General features: G+C 41.4%; 1 protein-coding gene across 1 annotated transcript in view, besides 1 other annotated feature; it reads right to left on the bottom strand.

Annotated features, from left to right (window-relative positions):
• SLC16A2 (solute carrier family 16 member 2) overlaps nt 1-21,424 on the bottom strand; it is a 112,424-nt gene that overhangs the window by 11,942 nt on the left and 79,058 nt on the right. Inside the window, exon 2 of the mRNA NM_006517.5 lies at nt 841-985. Coding sequence (NP_006508.2) covers nt 841-985 — 145 coding nt within the window. The remainder of the gene's footprint in view (nt 1-840; nt 986-21,424) is intronic.
• Nucleotides 11,205-11,254: an enhancer, noted in NCBI's record as "active region_29766". NCBI's record gives its function as "activates an Ori minimal core promoter by ATAC-STARR-seq in GM12878 lymphoblastoid cells {active_cell/tissue: GM12878}" and the evidence as "EXISTENCE:reporter gene assay evidence [ECO:0000049][PMID:35858748]".

Here is a 21,424-nt window from a genome sequence, read left to right as displayed (position 1 = left end):
TCTCCCTTACCCTACACACATTCTTCTGCAGGGCTGGCAGAAAAGAAAGCAGAAAATGAACCTAGAGCCTGCTTCTCACCTGATACTGCCAAGTTCTGCCAGTGGAACCAGTGGGACTAGGGTTTCAGTTTAGCCCAGGCCTAGCTGGGTAGCTGGGTTCTGGGTTTGTATCTCAGTAAGGGATATTGCTAATCATCCTTCTGATGCCCATGATGTAAATCATTATCTGTCCCAAATCATCCATATGTCAGCAGCCTGAGCTATCTGGAAAAGAGTCAGAAATGCTAAACATCCTTGGGCTCAGTTGACCTCTTTTTTCAGCATAAGATTCCTTTGGGAATCCTGTGCTAGGTGTTCACATGGGCTCACTCGAGAAGCTCAATCTTGGGATGGAAAGTGAGGTTGTGAGATGTGTGGCACACTGAAGGGGAATCAAATAGCAGAGTTGAAAGAGATGTAAAAAGACCATATGGTCAAATCCCCTCATGTTACAGATATAGAAATTGAGGCACAGAGAGAACAATGGTACTCATCAATTGTTCCATTGCCATTCAGTGGCCAAAACCGGACTTGGGCCCAGCTCTACGAACTACCAGGCTTAGAGTACTCCTACCACTTTGGAACTCTTAGGTCCTCTCTGGGGATATTCCCTACCAATGTGTCCTGGGGACCCTACCCAGATGAATTCACTGGATTCTGAATCCAGGGTGCAGGATCTTTGAGGGCCCTACAGGGCCATGGCCACAGGGGATTCTGCAGTGAGAAAAGTAACCCTAGCTAAAGCCCAGAAAAAAACCAACCCTCAGCCTTGGGGAAATAACCACCAACTCTTAGCCTTACCTGGTGAAGGAGCTGGTATGGAGGCCAATGAAAGCAACGGCAGCCCCCGCGGTTGCTGTGATTCGGCAGCCCAAACGGTCAGTGAATATACTCACAATGGGAGAACAGAAGAAGATCATACCCATCGCGAGGGCTCCGACCCATGCTGCAGAGAAAACAAGTGCAAAGACACTTTAGCTTAGTGTAGTGCCTGGTGGTACTGCTGGTATCTCAGCTCTTCTTCTCTGGCCTTTCACAGGGGGCATTGCATTGGTCTGCATTGCCAGCTTGCTAGTCCCTGATGTTCAGAGAGTTTTGCAAGAAGAGACTAGATATAAAACAGGGGATTCTATCACTGCGGTAAGATTTGGACTAGTCAATATTTCAGGCCTTTCCAGGGATGCTAAGCCAGATCTATAGCCTTAGGTTCTAAGCCACTGGCTTCAGGGGCAAAAAACATTGGGGTTAAGCTTTCAGGAGCTAAGGTCAGGCTTGTCTCCAGCATTAGAAGAACCCTGTGAAGACGATAAGACTAAGGAGTAGAGAAGGCCACAGACAAAAGCCCCCTGGAATTGTACTAGGATACAAGGCAAGTTCATAGGCCACCTAAAGATTTCTAAGGACACTGTGCAAGAGTCATGTAACCCTCATGCTGAAATCCGTCATCAGAGCCCATGTTTGGCAAATTCCTGACTTCAAACTCAAGCAGATATTATCCTGTTTCTAAAGGCTCTTAAGTGTCTATAACAATCCTCACTAAGGAGGAAGGAACTTGCCCTTTTATTTAGATTCTTCCAGACTGTTTCCCTTTGCTCAGCCCTCAGAAGGAAAGTTCAAGCTTTTTTTTTTATTTCGTCTGAAGGCTGTTATCAAGTTTCATCTTGAGCCTCTCTTTTCTCCGCCAAATAATCTTCGTTTCCTTAACTTTTCCTCTTAGCTTTAATTTCTAACTCTGAAATTAATTTCAGAACTCTCCTTTGAACACTTCCAGCTCTTCATCATCATCATCAAAGAGTGACACATGAGCTAGGCACTGGGCCAACTTCTGGCTCTCTCCAATTGTGGAGCCCCAATGGGCCAAAGGAGCTCAGTCTGGGGCTAGTCAACTGGCTGTGTCTCTTACCTCAGTGCCAAATAGGTTGCTCAGCTCCCCATTGGGAATCTTTACTTTGTTGGAGCCTTACCCTGAGCCCTCTCTGCCTGGCTTCAAAAGTACTAGCCTGGGACAGCAGGAGACCTTAACTTTTTATCACAATTTCACCTCTTACCTTGCCATTTCATCTCCTATCAGCTGTGAGATCTTGAGAAGTCACACAGCATTTCTCTAATCCTCAGTTTTCTCATCTGTGAAATGGAGATTAAAATTTCTGCTTGTGCCTGCCTCAAACATTTCTTTTTCTTTTTCTTTCTTTCGTTTTTTTTTTGTTTTTTTTTTTTTTTGAGACACAGTCTTGCTTTGTCACCCAGGCTGGAATGCAATGGCCCGATCTTGCCTCACTGCAAGCTCCGCCTCCTGGGTTCACACCATTCTCCTGCCTCAGCCTCCTGAGTAGCTGGGACTACAGGTGCCTGCCACCACGCCCGGCTAATTTTTTTGTGTGTTTTTAGTAGAGACGGGGTTTCACTGTGTTAGCCAGGATGGTCTCGATCTCCTGACCTTGTGATCCGCTGATGATCAGGGCCAGGCGTGGTGGCTCACGCCTGTAATCCCAGCACTTTGGGAGGCCAGGGCAGGCAGATCACGAGGTCAGGAGATAGAGACCATCCTGGCTAACACAGTGAAACCCCGTCTCTACTCAAAATACAAAAAATTAGCTGGGTGTGGGGGCGGGCGCCTGTAGTTCCAGCTACTAGCGAGGCTGAGGCAGGAGAATCGCTTGAACCCAAGAGGCGGAGCTTGCAGTGAGCCGAGATCTCACCACTGCGCTCCAGGCTGGGTGACAGAGTGAGACTCCATCTAAAGAAAAAAAAAAAATCAGATAAAATTATATGTATAAGAAGAGAACTTTGTAAATATCAATAATCACATCATGTTTAAAAATCAATGCAAAATGGATCATAGACTTAATGTAAAACTTAAAACTATAAAACTTCTAGAAGAACATATAGGAGACAAATCTTCCTGGCCTTTGGTTAGGCAAAGATTTTGCAGATATTCACAAATCGTATGATCCATAAAAGAAAAGATTTGATATATTAGACTTGATCAAACTTGAAAACTTCTGCTTTTCAAAAATAGTTATGAAAATGAAAAGGCAAGCCATAGACAGAAAAATTTTGCAGCACACAAAATCTGACAATAGACCGGTATCCACCATACAAGAGTGAGTTGACTCTCATAACTCAATAATAAAGCAAACAATCTAACTTAAAATATGGGCAAAAGAATTGAACAGAGATTACACAATTACACATGTGCACATACATTTATGATATGAATAGTAATTAAGCATATAAAAAGATGCTCAACATCACTAATAAGTTGAGAAACGCATATTAAAACCACAATGAGATAGCCCTTACCAAGAAAGCCTTTTTTCTTTTCTTTTTCTTTTTTTTTTTTCTTGAGACAGAGTTTCATTCTGTCTCCAGGCTGAAGTGCAGAGGCGCAATCTTGGTTCACTGCCACCTCTGCCTCCCGGGTTCAAGCAACTCTTGTGCCTCAGCCTCCCGGGTAGCTGGGATTACAGGCGCACGCCACCATGCCTAATTTTTTGTATTTCTAGTAGAGATGGGGTTTCACCACGATGGCCAGGCTGGTCTCAAACTCCCGGCCTCAAATGATCCACCTGCCTCAGTCTCCCAAAGTGCTGGGATTATAGGCGTGAGCAATGGTGCCCAGCAAAGAAAGGTTTTTACAAAATGATAATACCTAATACTGGGAGGATATGGAGGAACTGGAAATGTAATACGCTGCTGGTGGCAATGCAAAACAGTACTCACTTTGGAAAACAGTTTGGCAGCCTCCTGTGAAGTTAGTCATACATTTACCATGATCCCGAAAACCCACTGCTAGATATTAACTCAAGATGAATGAAAACTTATGTTCACACAAAAACCTGAACCTAGATGATTACACTAGCTTTTTTTTTCATAATTGTGCAAATCTGGAAACAACCCAAATGTACTTCAACTGGTGAATGGATAAACAAATGAATACACATTAATACAATGGAATACAACACAGCAATAGACAGGAATGAACTACTGAAACTTGAACAATCTCAAAGGCGTTATGCTAAGTAAACGAAGCCAGACTCAAATTATTCCTTCCACTTACAGGAAATTCGAGAAAAGACAAAACTATGGGGACAGGAAAACAAATCAGTAGGTGGCAGGAGGAGGGATGAGGGAGACAATTGACTACAGAGGGACATGAAGAAACTTTTTGGGGGTAATGAAAATGTTATCAAGTTTCATCTTGAGTCTCTCTTTTCTAAGCTTTATATGTTACATATCTTGATGATGGTGGTATTCTTTTGTCAAAATTCATAGAACTGAGCATGTAAAAAAGGGTGAATATTACCATATGTAATTATATCTCAATAAATCTGATGTTATTTTTAAAGGTGGGGAGAAGGCGGGAAAGCAGAAAGTGCCAGTTCAAGATCTCATTTATGATATATGTATCTTTATTCTGGCCAGAGTAAAAAAGTAGCTCAGTTGTATTGTCAAAGAGAAAAAAAATAATTAAATTTAGCAAATCATCTTACTGACATTTTATAACTAGAACTGACCATTATTTGACCCTTCTGAATGTCTATGATATAATGAAAACTGATGATTATTCTTATAAGGAATTTTTTGTACAGTCAAAGAAACTTTAAATTATGTTTGATATAGCTTTTAAAAATTAATCTATTTCATTTAAAAAAAAATTTTTAATTGTGAAATAACTATAGATTCACAGGAAATAGCCAAGATAGTCCAGAGAGGTCCCATGAACTCTTCACCAAGTTTCCCCTTATGTAACTATAACATGATATCAAAACCAGAAAATTAGGAGTGGCACAATATGTGCATATAGTTCTGTATCATTTTATCATGGGTAGATTCCTGAAACCACCATTGTGATCAAGATACAGAACTATTCCATCACCACAAAGATCTCCTTTGTGTTACAGTCACACTCAGCCCACTCCCCCACGACCCATAACTCCTAGCAATCACAAATTTGAAGAAAGTTATATAAATGGAGTCATACAGTATGTGGCCTTTTGAAATTGACTTTTTTTTACCCAGCATAATTCCCTGGAAATACATATTTGAAGTGAGTTTCTTATAGACAGCATATAGCTGGGTCATGATTTTTTTTTCTATCCACTCTGCCAATCTCTGTCTTTGAACTGATATATTTAGATCGTTTACATTTGATGTAATCATTGATACATTAGGGCAATTTTATTTTTGTTTCCTGTTTGTTTTCTGTTTTTAGTTTCTCTGTATTCTTTTATCCTGCCTGCCTATGGGTTACTTTAAAAGTTTTTAGAATTCCACTTTATTTATTGTGCTTTAAAGTGTGTTCCTTTGTATACCTTTTTTAGTGGCCACTGAAAAATGTACTCAAAGAAATCACATTATATATATATAATGGTATCACATCATATGTATACAACATCATTGGTGTCGACATGTTACTAGTTGGAGAGGAGTGTAGAAACCTAACCTCCCTTATATCTCCTCACCCTCCCTCATTTATAATAAAATTATCTTAAATATTTCCTCTACATCTATTAATAACCACATTAGGCATTATTATAATTTTTCTTCAACTGTTAAACCTAATTTACAAAACACAAAAGGGACCAGGCACTATGGCTCATGCCTGTAATCTCAGCACTTTGGGAGGCCAACGTGGGCAGATCACTTGAGTCTAGGAGTTTGAGACCAGCATGTGTAATGTGGCAAAACTCCATCTCTACAAAAAATCAGCTGGGCATGGTGGTGCACACCCATAGTCCCAGCTACTCAGGAGGCTGAGGTGGGAGGATCACCTGAGCCCAGGAGGTTGAGGCTGCTGCAGTGAGCCATGATTGTGCCACTGCACTCCAGCCTGGGTGACACAGTGAGAGCCTCTCTCCAAAAAAAAGAAAGAAAAAAAAACACAAAAGGAGAAGAAATCTAAATCAATTATATTATAATATCTGTCACATTTATGTATAATTTTACTTTTTCCACTGTTCTTTCTTTCTGATGTTCCAAGATTCCTTCTTCTATTGTTTCTTTTCTGGTTAAATAATTTCCTTTAGCTATTCTTTTAGGGTAGGTCTGTTGGGGACAAATTCTCTTAGTTTTCCTTCGTTTGAGAATGTATTGATTTCCTCATTCATTCCTGAAGGATATTTTCACTGGATATACAATTCTGAGCTAAGAGAGCTTTTATTTCAGCACTTTGCCCTCCATGGTTTCTGATGAGAAATCTTCTGTCATTTTAATTGTTTTTCCCCTAGAGTTAACGTGTCATTTCTCTCTTACTGTTTTCAAGATGTGTGTGTGTGTGTGTGTGTGCATGCACGTGCATGTCTGTGTGTTTAGCTTTTGAAAGTTTGACTATGATGTGTCTTGGCATAGAGTTCTTTGAGTTTATTCTCTTTGGGATTTGCTCAGTTTCTTAAATCTACAGACTTATGTTTTTACCAGAGTTGGGAAGTTTTCAGCAATTATTGCTTCAAGTATCTCTTCAGCCCTGCCTTTTTCCTCTTCTGGGACTCCTCTGATGACAGAAATGTTAAATATTTTGTTATAACCTCACAGGCATCTGAGGCTCTTTCCATTTTTTTCAATCTATTTTCTCTCTGTGGTCCAGATTGGATAATTATTATTGTTCTGCCTTCAAGTTCACTGATTCCTTCTTCTGTCTTCTCTCATCTGCTGTGGGGCCCATCCAGTGGGCTTATTTTATTTTGGTTATATATTTTTCAGCTCCAAAATTTTCCATTTATTTCATCTTTATATCTTCTAATTATCTACTGAGACTTAGTATTTTTTTCATTTGTTCCAAGTGTGATTGCAATGATTTGTTAAAGCATTTTTTGTTGGCTGCTTTAAAATCCTTGCCAAATAATTCAATTTCTGTGTTATCTTCATGTTAGTGTCAGTTGATAGTCTTTTCTTGTTGAAGTCAAGATTTCCCTGGTCCTTGGTGTGATTCGTGATTTTCTATGGTATTCTGGAAATTTTAGATATGAGACTCTGGATCTTATTTAAATCTTGTGTTTTAGAAGGCCTCTTCTGATACTGTGCCATTGAGGGACAACTTCATTACTACCAAATGGGGGTGGAAATCCAGGTTCCCTGCTTAGCTTCTATTGACACTCTAAGAAGGAAGGGTACCTTGTTATTGCTGAGCAGGGGTGGGTATTCAAGATCCCTACTAGGCTTCTTTTTATATCTTCCTGGTTGGGAGGAGTAGGGGTTCCTTGTTACTGTTTCCCATGTGGTCTTACCTCAGTAAGTGATGGTGAAAGTCCCAGTTTCCTACTTGGCTTTCACTGACACCACCTTGGCACCTTGCCAGGAGTAGGAGAGGTGGTTGGAGGTTATACCCGGGCAAGAGTGAAAGTCCAGGCTCCCTATGTGGTCTCTACTGACACCATGGGGGAGGGGTAGGCCTTGTTACTGCTGAGAGGGGAAGAAATTCCTGGCTTCCTACTGTTTTCTCTGACACCACCTCAGCATGGGAGGCGGGGAGGTTGGAGCACCTTGTTACAGCTGGGTGAGTGTAGAAGTCTTGGCTCCCCAGTAGGCCTTTGTTGGCAAAGGTCAAGTGGGGTGCATTTTTTCCCATGGTGTTAGGCTGGAGTAGAGGGATTATTGTTTAAAGCTTTTTTGTTTTGCTAGGCTGCCCCTTTTCCCGTCTTTTGGCTAGACAAATCAAGCTTTTTTTTTTTTTTGGTCTGCTTCCATTGGCATTTCTTGGTTGCTGGCTTCTTCAGCTCCAGGTCTAAGATATGTGAAGCAAAAAGAAAACTCAGGTTTTCTGTTACGTTTTTTCTTAGATCCCAACTTTCCTAGCCCATGTGCCTTCTTCTCTCCACTTTTCAATCTTGCTACATTTGTTTTAGATATAATGTCCAGCATTTTTAGCTGTACTGCATTGGAAGTATAGAGAAAAGTGCCTTAATATAGTTTTTAATACTAAATGTATATTTTTAAAAATGAAGTAATTCACATGTTATATTAATTTATTCAACAATTATTTAACATTCTCTCTGGCCCAGACACATGTCTATCCCATAGGCATTCAAGATGTTAAATGAGTGACATATGGTATTTGACTTCAAGGATCTCACAGTGGAGTAGGGAACACATTGTTTTTTTAAGTAGGGCAATAAAATTTATGAACCTCATGGTTCAAGGCCAGAATAAAATTTTCTATTTAAAGATTTTCAGAGAAGTCAGAAACTCCAAGTGAGAGAAAATTTTCTATAAAGGGAGAGAAAGGTAATCTAATAGCTAGATTGTGACTGAAGAAGAATAGCGTTATATAAGAGAAGTGACTTAAGGGACTGTTAGTGGGATAGGTTATCAAAAAATTTTAGTAAGAGAAAAATAATCAAGCAATGACTGTATTAAAAAAGAAGAAATAATAGTCATGATAACAATTATGGTGACAATTATAACCTTATTGATAATAGATAGGTGTTATTGGGTGTTACTGGTTATCCTTTACCTTTCTTATATTCAGTTTCCCATTTTGGAAAATGCAAAGAGTAGGTAGAGGTTTTCTAGAATTCTAACAATTCTTGGACTCAAAGCTAGGAGTTTCTTTCATTCCCCATAATTACCCCTGCTCTTATATGGGGAAGACAAAGAAAGAGATTTCAGTGAAGCAGCTGAGATTCGTGGGAGAGTTGGGTGGATTTTAACAGGCAATGTACAGACCTATCTTTCTAAACAGACTTGGAAAAATCAGAGGTGGAACCTTGTAACATTCCATCAGGGAGAAAGCATTATTTTCAATCCACAGTGCATAAGTGCTGAGCAAGTATCTGATTCCTGACTAATAAATTTTGTGTTCAACAGATCCTTGGATTTTGAGGATGAACTATTATAATTCATATAATTCAATGGTATAATTATTATACCATTCACACTTTTCCTCAGTGGTTCCCAGAGTTATTTTCAACCTTAACCTTCCCCTCTCAGCGGTAACAAGGCCTACCCCTCTCCTATGGTATCATGGAGTGAGACTTGGCCCCAAAAGGCCTGTACCTAAGTGAACATATGTCTGTATTCAGCAGGCACCCCTACTTTCCTCCTCAAAGCACCCATATCTAACTAGATTTCTGTTGGACCTGGGCAGCACAACACCAGAACTCTGGCTTTTCCAGCACCATCCTGGATCTGTTGGCCCTCAAGCTTCCTCATCCTCAAAGTCTTTTTACTCAAATACTCAATTAGTGCCTTGGCTCCTTACCCAGGCACTCAGGCTAATGTCTTTGAAGTACAGGAGACTGCTCAGAAAATAATTCAAGTGTGAGACCAGATTCCTCACTCCTTGGCTGCTGAAAGCCAACCTCTCTGAGTTGAAAGAGAGAGAGGGGGTACTCCAAGAGCCAAACTCTCCAAATACATCACAAGCTTTCATAAATTCCTTTTATTGTGGGGAACTAACAAAAGCTCAAATGAGGGAATGACGGTGCAAAGTCAAATAAAGGTCAAAGATAGGTCAAGGGTAGATAGGAAGAGAGATAAGGTGGCTGACACAGGGGCAGAGATGGCTCTATTCAAGAGCCCCTACTTCCTGACAAGATGCACAGTACAGTGAGAGAATAGCAAATAGGATTAAGAGGACAGGTTCTAAGGCTAAGCTATCCAACTGCTATACCCAGTGCTAAGTGGAGAGAATGGCACCATGAATTGGATTCTGTGTTGCCGGAAATATTCACTTGCTTCTGCCCCATCACCACACCTCTTCAGAGTTCCCAGAACATGGTGATGTGTCTACATCTAGTTTGAATAAATGGGATAGTTGGAATGGTATTGGTTTGGCATGGGGACAGTGTGTGGTAGGTAGCAGGCAGCTTAGGACTGTGATGACTTATGCCGGCACATCCAGCCAGGTGGTGGGCACGCATTAGTGAGATGACTGAAAGAATTGGTGAAACATATTTAAAAGGAGGATGTAGGTGAAGGCACTTCAGGGGTCAGCTGGGGAGCTCCAGAGGGAAGAAATGCAAGACTCTGTTCTTCTTTGGGGACTGAGATAACAGGAGCCCTTATCTCTGCGGCTCACCAGAAGAGTGACCTCCAGCTGAGCGTCATTTATTAATTATTTCCCTGGCCTTGTGCAGGGCCCAGAGTTAAGTGCTACATAACTGTCTGTCCAGTGAATAGATGAAACACTCTTGCTCAGAGAAGCTTCTTTCAAACCTTTTTCCATTTTCTGACAAACACTGTGTTGAAAAGCTCTTTCTTCCAGCACTCAGACACTCTAAGCCCATTTACTTTGGTAGCTACTCACCATCCATCCATTGTGTCTAGAATTCTACTTCATATTTCTAGCAAATCTTTATTTTAAAAGTCCAAAAGTACTTTCATATTTGTCCTGGCATTGGGTCCTCTCAGTATCTTACTTTTTTCTTCATTATAATGTGATGGTGTTTTTCTGGGGGTGGCACAGCAATACTAGGAAACATTACTTTCCAAGCATTCCATATCTAAACAAATCGCGGCCGGGTGCGGTGGCTCACGCCTGTAATCCCAGCACTTTGGGAGGCCGAGGCGTGAGGATCACGAAGTCAGGAGATAGAGACCATCATAGCTAACACGGTGAAATCCCGTCTCTTCTAAAAATACAAAAAATTAGCCGGGCACGGTGGCGGGTGCCTATAGTCCCAGCTACTCAGGAGGCTGAGGCAGGAGAATGGCGCGAACCTGGGAGGCGGAGCTTTCAGTGAGCCGAGATCGGGCCACTGCACTCCAGCCTGGGCGACAGAGCGAGACTCCGTCTCAAAAAAAAATAAAATAAATAAAATAAAAAAAACCACGAATCTCATTTTTATCTCTCCACATTTTGTCTCAAGACATGCCAATTTTCGTGGGCTACCTAATTTGAATTTCAAAACTTTGTTTTCTTTTTAGAGACAGGGTCTTGCTCTGTCACCCAGGCTGGAGTGCAGTGGCACAATCATGGCTCACTGCAGCCTCAAGCTCCCATGCTTAAGCTATCATCCCACCTCAGTCTCCTGAGGGTAGCTAGTACTACAGGCACGCACCAATGCACCACCACACCCGGCTATTTTTTTTTTTTTTTTAAGTTTTTGAAGCGATGGGATCTTGCTATGTTGCCTAGGCTGGTCTCAAACTCCTGGTGTCAAGCCGTCCTCCCTCCTTAGCCTCCCAAAGCTCTGAGATTACAGGTATGAGCCACTATGCCCAGCCCAAGTTTCAAAGGTTTTAAAGTCAAATATTCACTGAAAATATAAGTTGTCTTATTACCTCCATATTAGGTTATTTGGCCTGCTTCCCTCTGCAGCTATTGTTTATTTACTTTCAGTTTTGGAGTTAGAAGATTTAGGGGTTCAGTTACTAATTTTACAGAGAGTCAAACTGAGACAGAGTCAAACAGAGAGACCTACACTTAAGAGTGCCCATGCCAAGTCTGAAAATGAGACATTTTAACTCTTGTCCCAGTCCTTCAAGGGTAACTGGGCTCTACTTAATGGCCTATGGCCACTGATTTGAACCCACTGGTTTTGGACAATGGTCAGTTATCTACTTTAGTAGCTAAGGCAGATTACAGGTGTTTTGTTTTGTTTTTTTTTTTTACTAAAACACACCAGTGTTGGGAGAAACTATGACTTGAAACAGTTTCCTCATCTTTCTCTGAGAAGGCTGGCCCAGCACCTACAGACTCAGATTGTCAGACATTCACCTAATGGAAAGTATGGGAAACAGGCCAAAGGCAAAGACAGACAAGAAATAAGGAGACAGAGAAGAGACACACATATCTAACATAAAAAGATTGATGACAGGGTCTTATTAGAACTGCAAGATGTTAAAAATGAAAGGGCCCATATGAATCATAGAGGGGCTGACCAAGTTGGCTTCAATTGTGAATTCCAAACATTTAAGGAAGAGATAATACCAGTTCTACACAAACTCTTCCAAAAAATTGGAGGAAACACTTCTCAGCTCATTCTATAAGGCCAGTATTACCCTGACACCAAAACCAGATAAAAAACATCACAAGAAAAGAAAATGACAGATGAAGATCCATCCTGAACACAGTTTCAAACTCTTAACATTTTAGCAAATTGAATCCCACAATATCTAAAAAGGATAGGCTGGGAGCGGTGGCCCACGCCTGTAATCCCAGCACTTTGGGTGGTCGAGGTGGGTGGATCACTTGAGGTCAGGAGTTCAAGCCAGCGTGGCCAACATGGTGAAATTCTGTCTCTACTAAAAAAATACAAAAAAATTAGCCGGGCGTGGTGGCACGTGCCTGTAGTCCCAGCTACTCGGGAGGCTGAGGAAGGAGAATCGCTTGAACCCAGGAGGTGGAGGTTGCAGTGAGCCGAGATTGCGCCGCTGCACTCCAGCCTGGGCAACAGAGTGAGACTCCATCTCAAAAAAAAGGGGAAAAAACATCATGATCAAGTGTGATTTATCCTGGAAATGCAAGGTTAGTTCAACATTCAAAAATCGATCAATGCAATATGCAGTTATACCAGACTTAAAATTAAAAATGTATATATAATCATCTCAACCAATGCAGAAAAAGCATTTGACAAAATCCAGTATCCATTCAAAATTTTAAAAAAACTCTTAGCAAACCAGAAATACAAGGGAACTTTCACAACCTGATAGAGGGCAACCATGAAAAGCCTATAGCTAACATCATCTTGTGAAAGACTGAATGGTTCCACACTACGGTTAGGAATAGGGTGCCAGGTGCAGTGGGTCACACCTCTAATCCCAGCAATTTGGGAGGCCGAGGCGGGTGGACCACTTGAGTCCAGGAGTTCAAGACCAGCCTGGGCAACATAGTGAGACCCCACTCTCTACAAAAAATACAAAAATTAGCTAGGCCTGGTGGCACGCACCTGGAGTTCCAGCTACTCAAGAGGCTGAGTCAGTAGGATCACCTGAGCCTGGGGAGGTGGAGGCTACAGTGAGTGTGATCGCACCACTGCACTCCAGCCTGGGCAACAGAGTGAGACCCTGTCTCAAACAAACAAACAAACAAACAAAAAGGATACAAAAAGGATGTCTGCTCTCACTAATTCTATTTAACATTCCATTGGAGGTTCTAGCTAATGCAATAAGACAGTAAGAAGACGTGGGAGGGTGGGAAGAGGGAGAGTAGCAGAAAAGATATTTACTGGGTACTGGGCTTAATACCTGGGTGATAAAATAATATGTACAACAAACCCCCGTGACACATGTTTACCTATGTAACATATCTTCACATGTACCCCCAAACCTAAAATAAAAGTTAAAAACGAACAAACAAGACAGCAAAAAGAAATAGAAGACACACAGGTAGGAAATGAAGAAGTAAAACCGTCTTTATTTACAGACAACATTATAATTTACCTAGAAAAATCAAAGGACTCTACAAAAAAAGCTACTAGAACTAACAAATAAGCTAAGCAAGATCTCAGAATATACAAAGTCAATATACAAAAACAAATTGTATTTATATATACTAGCAATGGATAATTAAACATCGAATAAAAATACCATTTGCAATGTCATCAAAAATTTGTAATACTTATGGATAAATTTGATTTAAAACATGTCAGACCTCTATATTGAAAATTACAAAAAGTTGCTAAGAGAAATTAAAGAAGACAAATAAATGGAGGGATATATATTGTTCATGGGTCAGATGTCAATTCTCTCCAATTGTTCTGTAGATACAATGCAACCCTAATTAACATCCCAGCGAGGTTTTTTTGATAGAATTTTGCAAGTTGATTCTCAAATTTAAGTGTAAAGGAAAAGAACATAGAATTGAGAAAATAATTTTGACAAGGAATAAAGTTAGAATACTTATATTATCTCGTTTCAAGACTTACTATAAAATTACACTGTTGGTAGGAATGTAAATTAGTACAGCCATTATGGAAAACAGTGTGGTGATTTCTCAAAAAACTAAAAATAGAACTACTATATGACCCAGCAATCCCACTGCTAGATATTTATCCAAAGGAAAGAAAATCAGTATGTCAAAGAATTAAGTGTACTGCCATGTTTATTGCAGTACTATTCACAACGGCCAAGATATTGAATCAACCTAAGTGTTCATCAACAGATAAATGGATAAAGAAAATGTAGTATATATACACAAGGGAATACCATTTGGCCATCAAAAAGAATGAAATCCTGTCATTTGGTATTTGACTTTCTGTGCTAACTTATTTCACTGAAGATAATGGCCTCCAGTTCTATCCATGTTGCTGCAAAAGACATGATTTCATTCTTTTTTATGCTTGAGTAGTATTCTGTGGTATAAATATGCCACATTTCCTTTATCCAATCATCTACTGATGGACACCTAGGTTGATTCCATGACTTTGCTATTGTGAATATTGTAAACTTTGCTATTGTGAATATTGCTGTAATAAACATATGAGTGCAGGTATCATTTTTGTATAATGATTTATTTTCCTTTGAGTAGATACTCAGTAGCAGGGTTGCTGGATTGAATGGTAGTTCTGTCTTACATTCTTTGAGAAATCTGCAAACTGCTTTCCACAGTGACTGAACTAATTTACATTTCCACCAACAGTGTATAAGTGTTCCCTTTTCTCCACATTCTTGGTTTCCTGCATATCTACATATGTAAAAATGCGTCAAATTATACACTTGAAATATATGCGGTTTACTATTTGTAAATTATTCCTCAATAAAGCTTTGAAAAAACAAAAATAAAAAAAATCACAGATGAGGCTGGGCGCGGTTGCTCATGCCTGTAATCCTAACACTTTTGGAGGCTGAGACAGGCAGATGGCTTGAGCTCAGGAGTTCAAGACCAGCCTGGGCAACATGGCAAAACCCCGTCTCTACAAAAAAATAAAATAAAATAAAAATTAGCCAGGTGTGGTGGCACGGGCCTGTAGTCCCAGTTACTTGTGGTTGGGGGGGGAGCGGGTGTTGAGGTAGGAGGATCGCTTGAGCAGGAGATCGAGGCTGCAGTGAGCTGAGATTGCACCACTGCACTCCAGCCTGGGTGACAAAGCGAGACCCTGCCTCAAAAAAAAAAAAATAAATAAATAAATAAATAAATAAATAAATAATAAATATCACAGATGAGAACACTGAAGCTCAGAGAGGACATAAACTACTCAAGGACATACAGCAAGTCAATTGCTAACTAAGCCAGGATAAAAACCCCGATCTTTGGAGTCCTAATCCTGTGCTCCTTCTACTGCACTGTGATACCTGATAAGCCTCTGATAAGACTGTTCTGTCATATCTTCCCTTCTATTGCCCTCATCTTTCTGAGTCTCTCCCCTGGGGCTCCATGGGAAAGTCCCTGAGATCTCCCTTCTGCCCTAGACCTGCTTTTCTCTCTCTGCCCACTGAACCATTTACTTTGACCTCTCTCTCTCTTTAGACATTAAGTAAATCCCAACTTACCTCTCAGCCAAACTCACCTGCCTCCAGGGGTGCTTTTCTAGTATTCAATTAGGCAATGACATTATGGACTTGGCCTTCCTGAACTCTAGGGCAGTGCCTCCCAGCCTAGATTTACCTCGAGGTTTTTACAGTCCCCTTCCCAGGCTCCCTGCCCCATATCACTAGGCATGGAGAGGTATTAAGCAAAGACCGATCAATGATCTTTCTGTTGTTTACAGATGAAGACATGAGGCCTACAGACTTGGTTTATAGCAGGGTAGGGACAAGGTCTCAGGTCTCCTCCATCACCATGCCGTATCTACTTCCCTGTCTGGCTCTCTGTCATTTTAGCATCTCGGCCTTGCAACCTTTAAATGGTGGGTTGGAGGCCTTATGGTTACCAGAACCCTGTGAGGTTAGGAAAAGGAACCCTGAGCCCATGGGTCAGAAGGAGTGAGTGTGAAATTAGAACTGGGCAATGATGTCTAGAGCTCACCAGCTGCTTCTTATTAGGTTAGCAAATCTCTATACCCTCCTTGGAAACATGGCTGCTCCATTGATCTGTCCCACCACCAGAGAAGAAGCAGCAGGAGTCAGACGAACAATTTTCTAAGCTCAGCTTTCAGGAAGCATCAGTGCCTTTGTAAAGCCAAAACAAGAAACAAGTACCAAAATGATGAGCCTCTTCCTACCCTTGAGACTGAATAGGGCCCTGCTTATAGCTTTAAGGCCACTTTTGAGCTAAAGAGGCAGCCAGTTTGGGCAGCTGCTTCCAGCAGGCACCCCAATGGGACAGGTTATCACTCTGTTACCAGAAGCAACTCTCCCTACACTGTAGTTTAACATTAGGAAGGAAACCTGGGATGGTTGGTCTGGGGCAGATGACAAGGTAATCAATCCAGGGAAGGCTGGCTGCCAGGATTAATATGGCTTTGATCCTCAGAGCTGAGCCAAGCACTAATGTTGGCTCCACCGTCAGGGGGCCTGCTGCTACGACTTCATGAAGCATGAAAGCCTGCAGGAAATCTCAAGAGACCACTTAGGCCATGTTCCTGCCTCTGAGCAGGAATAGGCTGACAATCCCTAGCACCCTTGAATTACTTGTCTGAAGGAAGGGAGGTAGGGGAAAAGAAGGCAGAGGAACTGCAAAAGTATGGACAGAGCTCATTTTTCAATCTAAAATGCCTTTTCCAGGATACTGCCCCTTTTTGTTAAGTGTTTTCTGAGAGAGATGGGGAAAATGAGGAAACAGCAGAGGAAGGAAATCAAAAGCCCCTTCAGGACAGAGGATATTACATCGGTTGGCTAGTTAACAACCTGCTTCCCAGCTGGGAAATTTCCTTAAGCCTCACCTTAGCCTCTCTGAAATAAGGCTGGGACCTCTGTCACTACAGGAAGGTTCTAGGATAGATGAATTTTCCTCCTTTAGAATTTTTTTTTCCTAGCCACTAAACTATCAGGGATGGGCTGAATTAATCTTTCTATAATGTTTGTATAATGCTAAATGTGCAGGCTCTGAGTCAGACAGACATGGATTTAAGAACAAGGTGTATGTACCTGCTATTTGTGTTTTTTGTGTGTTTGTTTGTTTGTTTGAGACAGGATCTTGCTCTGTCACCCGGGTTGGAGTGCAGTGGCATGATTACAGTTCACTGCAGCCTCAACCTCCAAAGCTCAAGTGATCTTCTCACCTCAGCCTCCCGTGTGGCTGGGTCTACAGATGCGCCATTACACTCCGCTAATTTTTGTATTTTTTGTAGAGTTGGGGTTTCTGCCATTTTGCCCAGGCTGGTCTCGAACTCCTGAGCTCAAGTCATCTGCCCACCTTGGCCTCCCAAAATGCTGGGACTGCAGGCGTGAGCCATTGCTCTACATCCTCACTTTCTATTTGACCTTGAGCAACTTATTTCACATCTCTAAGCCTCAGTTTTCTCATCCGGAAAATGGATCTTATAAAAGTACCAACTAAATGATTGTTCTGTGAGGATTAGGTGAGCTAATGTAAGAGACCTGGCTTGTATGACTTAAATATAGTCCTGGGGAAGGCAGATGTGGACAGACACTTCTCCAGGCTGCTAATGAAGAGAGCACATGTCCCAGGCCCTCAGTAGGGCAAATGCAAAGTGAACTCTGGGTCTGGGTTGGGTACTGGCTACTTATGTGACAGGTGCCTCTGTAGTAGGGGTGGGAGTGGTAGAGTAGCAGAAGGTTGGAGGTCAAAGTTTCTAACCCCTTCCTCTAATTCAATATGCCAGGAGGCAAGATGGGTGGGTGGGAAGGGAAGGCAATAGCCACTCATGCCAGCACTGATCAAGCCAGAGTCGATGGACTCAAGAGCGACCTGGCAGTAAGGGGGAAGGTCCCAACACCTTTGTAATTTAATGTCAATCTCACCTCACCTCTGTAGAGTTCTTTTATCTCCCAAAACCCTTTTTCAGCACTTATCTCATTAGATCTTCACAGCAACTGTGTAAGATAAATAGGGCAGCAAATGTCCTTCCTCACATATTTCTTTTCTTCATAGTAGAAGTAGAAGTAGTAGTACTACTAGTAGTAACAATAGTTAACACTTACTTAGCACTTACTATGTGACAGACACCGTGTCAAATTCTTTACATATATTAGCTATGCTATTTCATTTAATTTTCACACCAACTGCATAAAGTAAATAATATTAGTGTTCCATTTACTTGCCCTCAAGTAAATAAACATACCAAGAAAGACTTGGTAAGTAGACTAGGTCACACAGCTAGTAAGTGGTAGAGTTGGCATCCAATCCAGGTCTGTCTGACAATAAGGTCTTTGCTCTTAGCTATTATGCTATATGTACCCTATTTTGCAAAGAAAGAAATTGAGGCTGAAGAGTTTGAATGTCTTCTCCAAGGATACGAAGCAAGTTAGTACCAGAAGACCAGAAGTAGGCCTAACTTTGGGTCTTCTGACCCTCCATCTAACGTTATTTCCCTTATTCCCAGCTGCATTATCTATGGCATGCCCTCACACACTTGGTACTATGCTCCAGGCTCCTGTGGTCACTATGAGATTGGAACATCAGGGATCAGGTAAACATGCCATCTTCCAGCAAGGTCAAGGGTTAATCTTCATTCCTTGATGCCTGATCTGTAACGAAGGTGCAAAGAAGGCAAACAGCTTGCTCCAGACTCCCCACTGTACCAAGAGTGGAGAAATTCCACTCCTGAAGTTCTTAACTTTGAAGTCTGGGCTTGTTTCACTTGAATACCTATGTATGTGCCCACAAGACAGCAAAGAAAGCAGTATGGGTCAAAAGAAAATCAGAAAAAAGAAACCTAGTCTACTCCCCATCTCCTTTTAATTGGGTCTGTGTGAGGTGGCTGAAGAGAAGGTCAGGGTCCTTTAGAACAAGAGGGATTTGAAAAAATCATATAATTTGGGTAGAGGTAGAAGGAAGGTAATGTCAGGGTCTTAAAGGCTTGGAGTGTCTTCTTGTAGAGGCTCTGTGATGGTCCTGAAGAGGGTGGGGAGAGAACAGGAGTACAGGAAAGGTTGCAAACACATTTCCACCCTGGTCCTCAGCTCTGAAATCAACACTAAGAACCTGCCAGGATTTTGGCCTAGTGCTAGGGGTTGTAGTAGCTATGGAGTAATGCAATCCAAAGATCTGGCCAGTCCAAGCAGAAGGCTAACACACATGTAAAGGGAGCTTGTTTGGTGATCCCAAATGCCAGCCCGTGGACCATGCTTGACTAGCTGCATCTGCACCATGTGGGTAATATGAGGGCACTGCCAGGTTTGAGAGGCAATGGATTGGATCAACTACTATTGTCAATTGTCAGGGTCCGTTGTGGGGAACAGGAAGAGCAGGAGAAGGAGGTTAGAGGGACCATCTGGCTGGAGTTCTCATTCACAAAAGATCTCTAGTGTACACTTTATCTATCCTGTAATTATCTTGTGAATGCCATCTATTTCATTATATTTGCTTGATATGTGTTACAATGTTTAGCTGTTAAAAGTAAGTATTTCAAAAGTACCACAATTTTTGAGACTGTATTTTGGCATTTCTTCATTTACAAATATCCAGAGAGCCTCACAAAATAAATGTGTTGTAAGCCTTCCACCAACTCCTGAGTGTAGAGATCTTTGAATGACAGGGTCAAGAAATGCACTTGAACCTTTAGGAACTGGAGAGCCCACACAAGTCCTAGTGGAATGTTAAAAACTATGACTGTGGTTATTATATCCGCAAGGGTATGGAGGCAGGACTGAAGCTGCCACTGATGAGGCTGGTATCTGAATTTTTTAGGGAGGGTAGGAAGGAGCCTGGTCTGGGGACCTACTGAATGGTAGCAGAGATAAGACTGAATCACATACGCAAGAGTTTGGAATAACAACACAGTGATCATCTAGACTAACCTCCTCATTTTACATGTGGAGAAACTGAGGCCCAGGAAGATTAAATGATATCACCCAAAGTCACAAATCTGTTAGTACCAGAGCCTAAAGTAACACACTGTATTTTTCTACTACACAAAGATTTAAGATATCAAAAGAGACAAGAGTCTGTCTGCAGAGGGGAGAGGAGATAGCTGAGAAGGACTACAAGGTTTTTTTTATGTTCAAATTAATATATTCTTTTTTATTATTATTATACTTTAAGTACTAGGGTACATGTGCACAATGTGCAGGTTTGTTAATATGTATACATGTGCCATGTTGGTGTGCTGCACCCATTAATTCATCATTTACATTAGGTATATCTCCTAATGCTTAAGCCTATACCTATATCCCAGATAGTGCTTGAACACAGGACTCCAAAAATGTTTTCTGTACCCTCCCGTCCCTGTGGAGGGTAGACAGGATTTTGGGGAACACTTTGAAGAGAGTCGCTGAGGCCATACCCTTAGGCCTGAGGCATGGAATACCCCAGACGCACTTTCCATGCGGTGGGCCAGCAGCTGGTCTGGGCTTTGGCTAATGGTGTCCATGTGGTAACTTTTGCTGGAGCAGAGGGGGGGCCCACCAGAGACAGCAGTAGCAGCACTGGGTCCTTGTTCCATGCTCTACCTGCTCCAGGGTTATAGTTGCACCTTCTACAACCTCCCCATGAAACTGGCTAGTGCTTTTGTCATCAGCTGCCTCTGAAAAGTCTTTTCATCAACAGGCCTGAGGATTGTAAGCCCTCTGCCCTCCTCCTACCCTAGGCTCTTTGTTCTCTGTACTGTCTGCCAATCCCAGGTAAATAGCATGTCCATTGGGGCACAAGTAGAGGCCAAACTGTTCTGGGCATACTACAGGTCTCTCTGGGGAGAGTTTGGTCGACACTAAAGAATAATATGGCAATTGACTGCCCAGTTCTAGCACCACAAAACCTGAATCAGAAGCCTGGCTTCACCATTTACCATTTATATTACCATTTATATTTCTTCAGGCAGGTAACTAAAACCTTTCAAACTTAATCTCCTACTCTGTAAAATGAGAGAAATTGTCACATTGTAGGGTTATTGTAAAGACTATATGAAACAATATAGGTTGGTGCAAAAGTAATTGCAGTTTTGCCATTACTCTCAATGGCGAAAACTGCAATTACTTTTGCACCAGCCTAATATATGAAGAAAAATTAATGGCACATAAATGGGGGGAAACATATTTTATTATATGTACCATGCTAATTTTGAGAAGGACTTTTAATTTTAATAATTAGAATGGGACAATATTTATAAACTGGAACATCCGGTCATTCTATTTATAAAGGATACCTATTATTAAAAGAACCTTACTTTGAGTTCTGCAATCGATTGCTGTAGAATTTTGTGCAAATGACCTTTGTTCTCTAGAACTCATTTTGTCCAATTGTGAAACAAAGTAAACAGGGTGCAAGGGGGAAGCTCAGAATTACATTGAGGTTGATAATTGCCTCTGAGAGATTCATCAAAAATTGTACATCTGGAAAACTAAATGTTGTATGTTCTCACTGATATGTGGGAGCTAAGCGATAAGGATACAAAGGCATGAGAATGATACAATGGACTTCGGGGACTTCCAGAGAAGAGTGTGG

The sequence above is a fragment of the Homo sapiens genome, chromosome X (assembly GCF_000001405.40).
Source record: "Homo sapiens chromosome X, GRCh38.p14 Primary Assembly".
Classification (NCBI taxonomy): domain Eukaryota; kingdom Metazoa; phylum Chordata; class Mammalia; order Primates; family Hominidae; genus Homo; species Homo sapiens.
The sequence above is the reverse complement of the archived record's forward strand: the minus strand, read 5'-3'. Positions and strand labels throughout refer to the sequence as shown.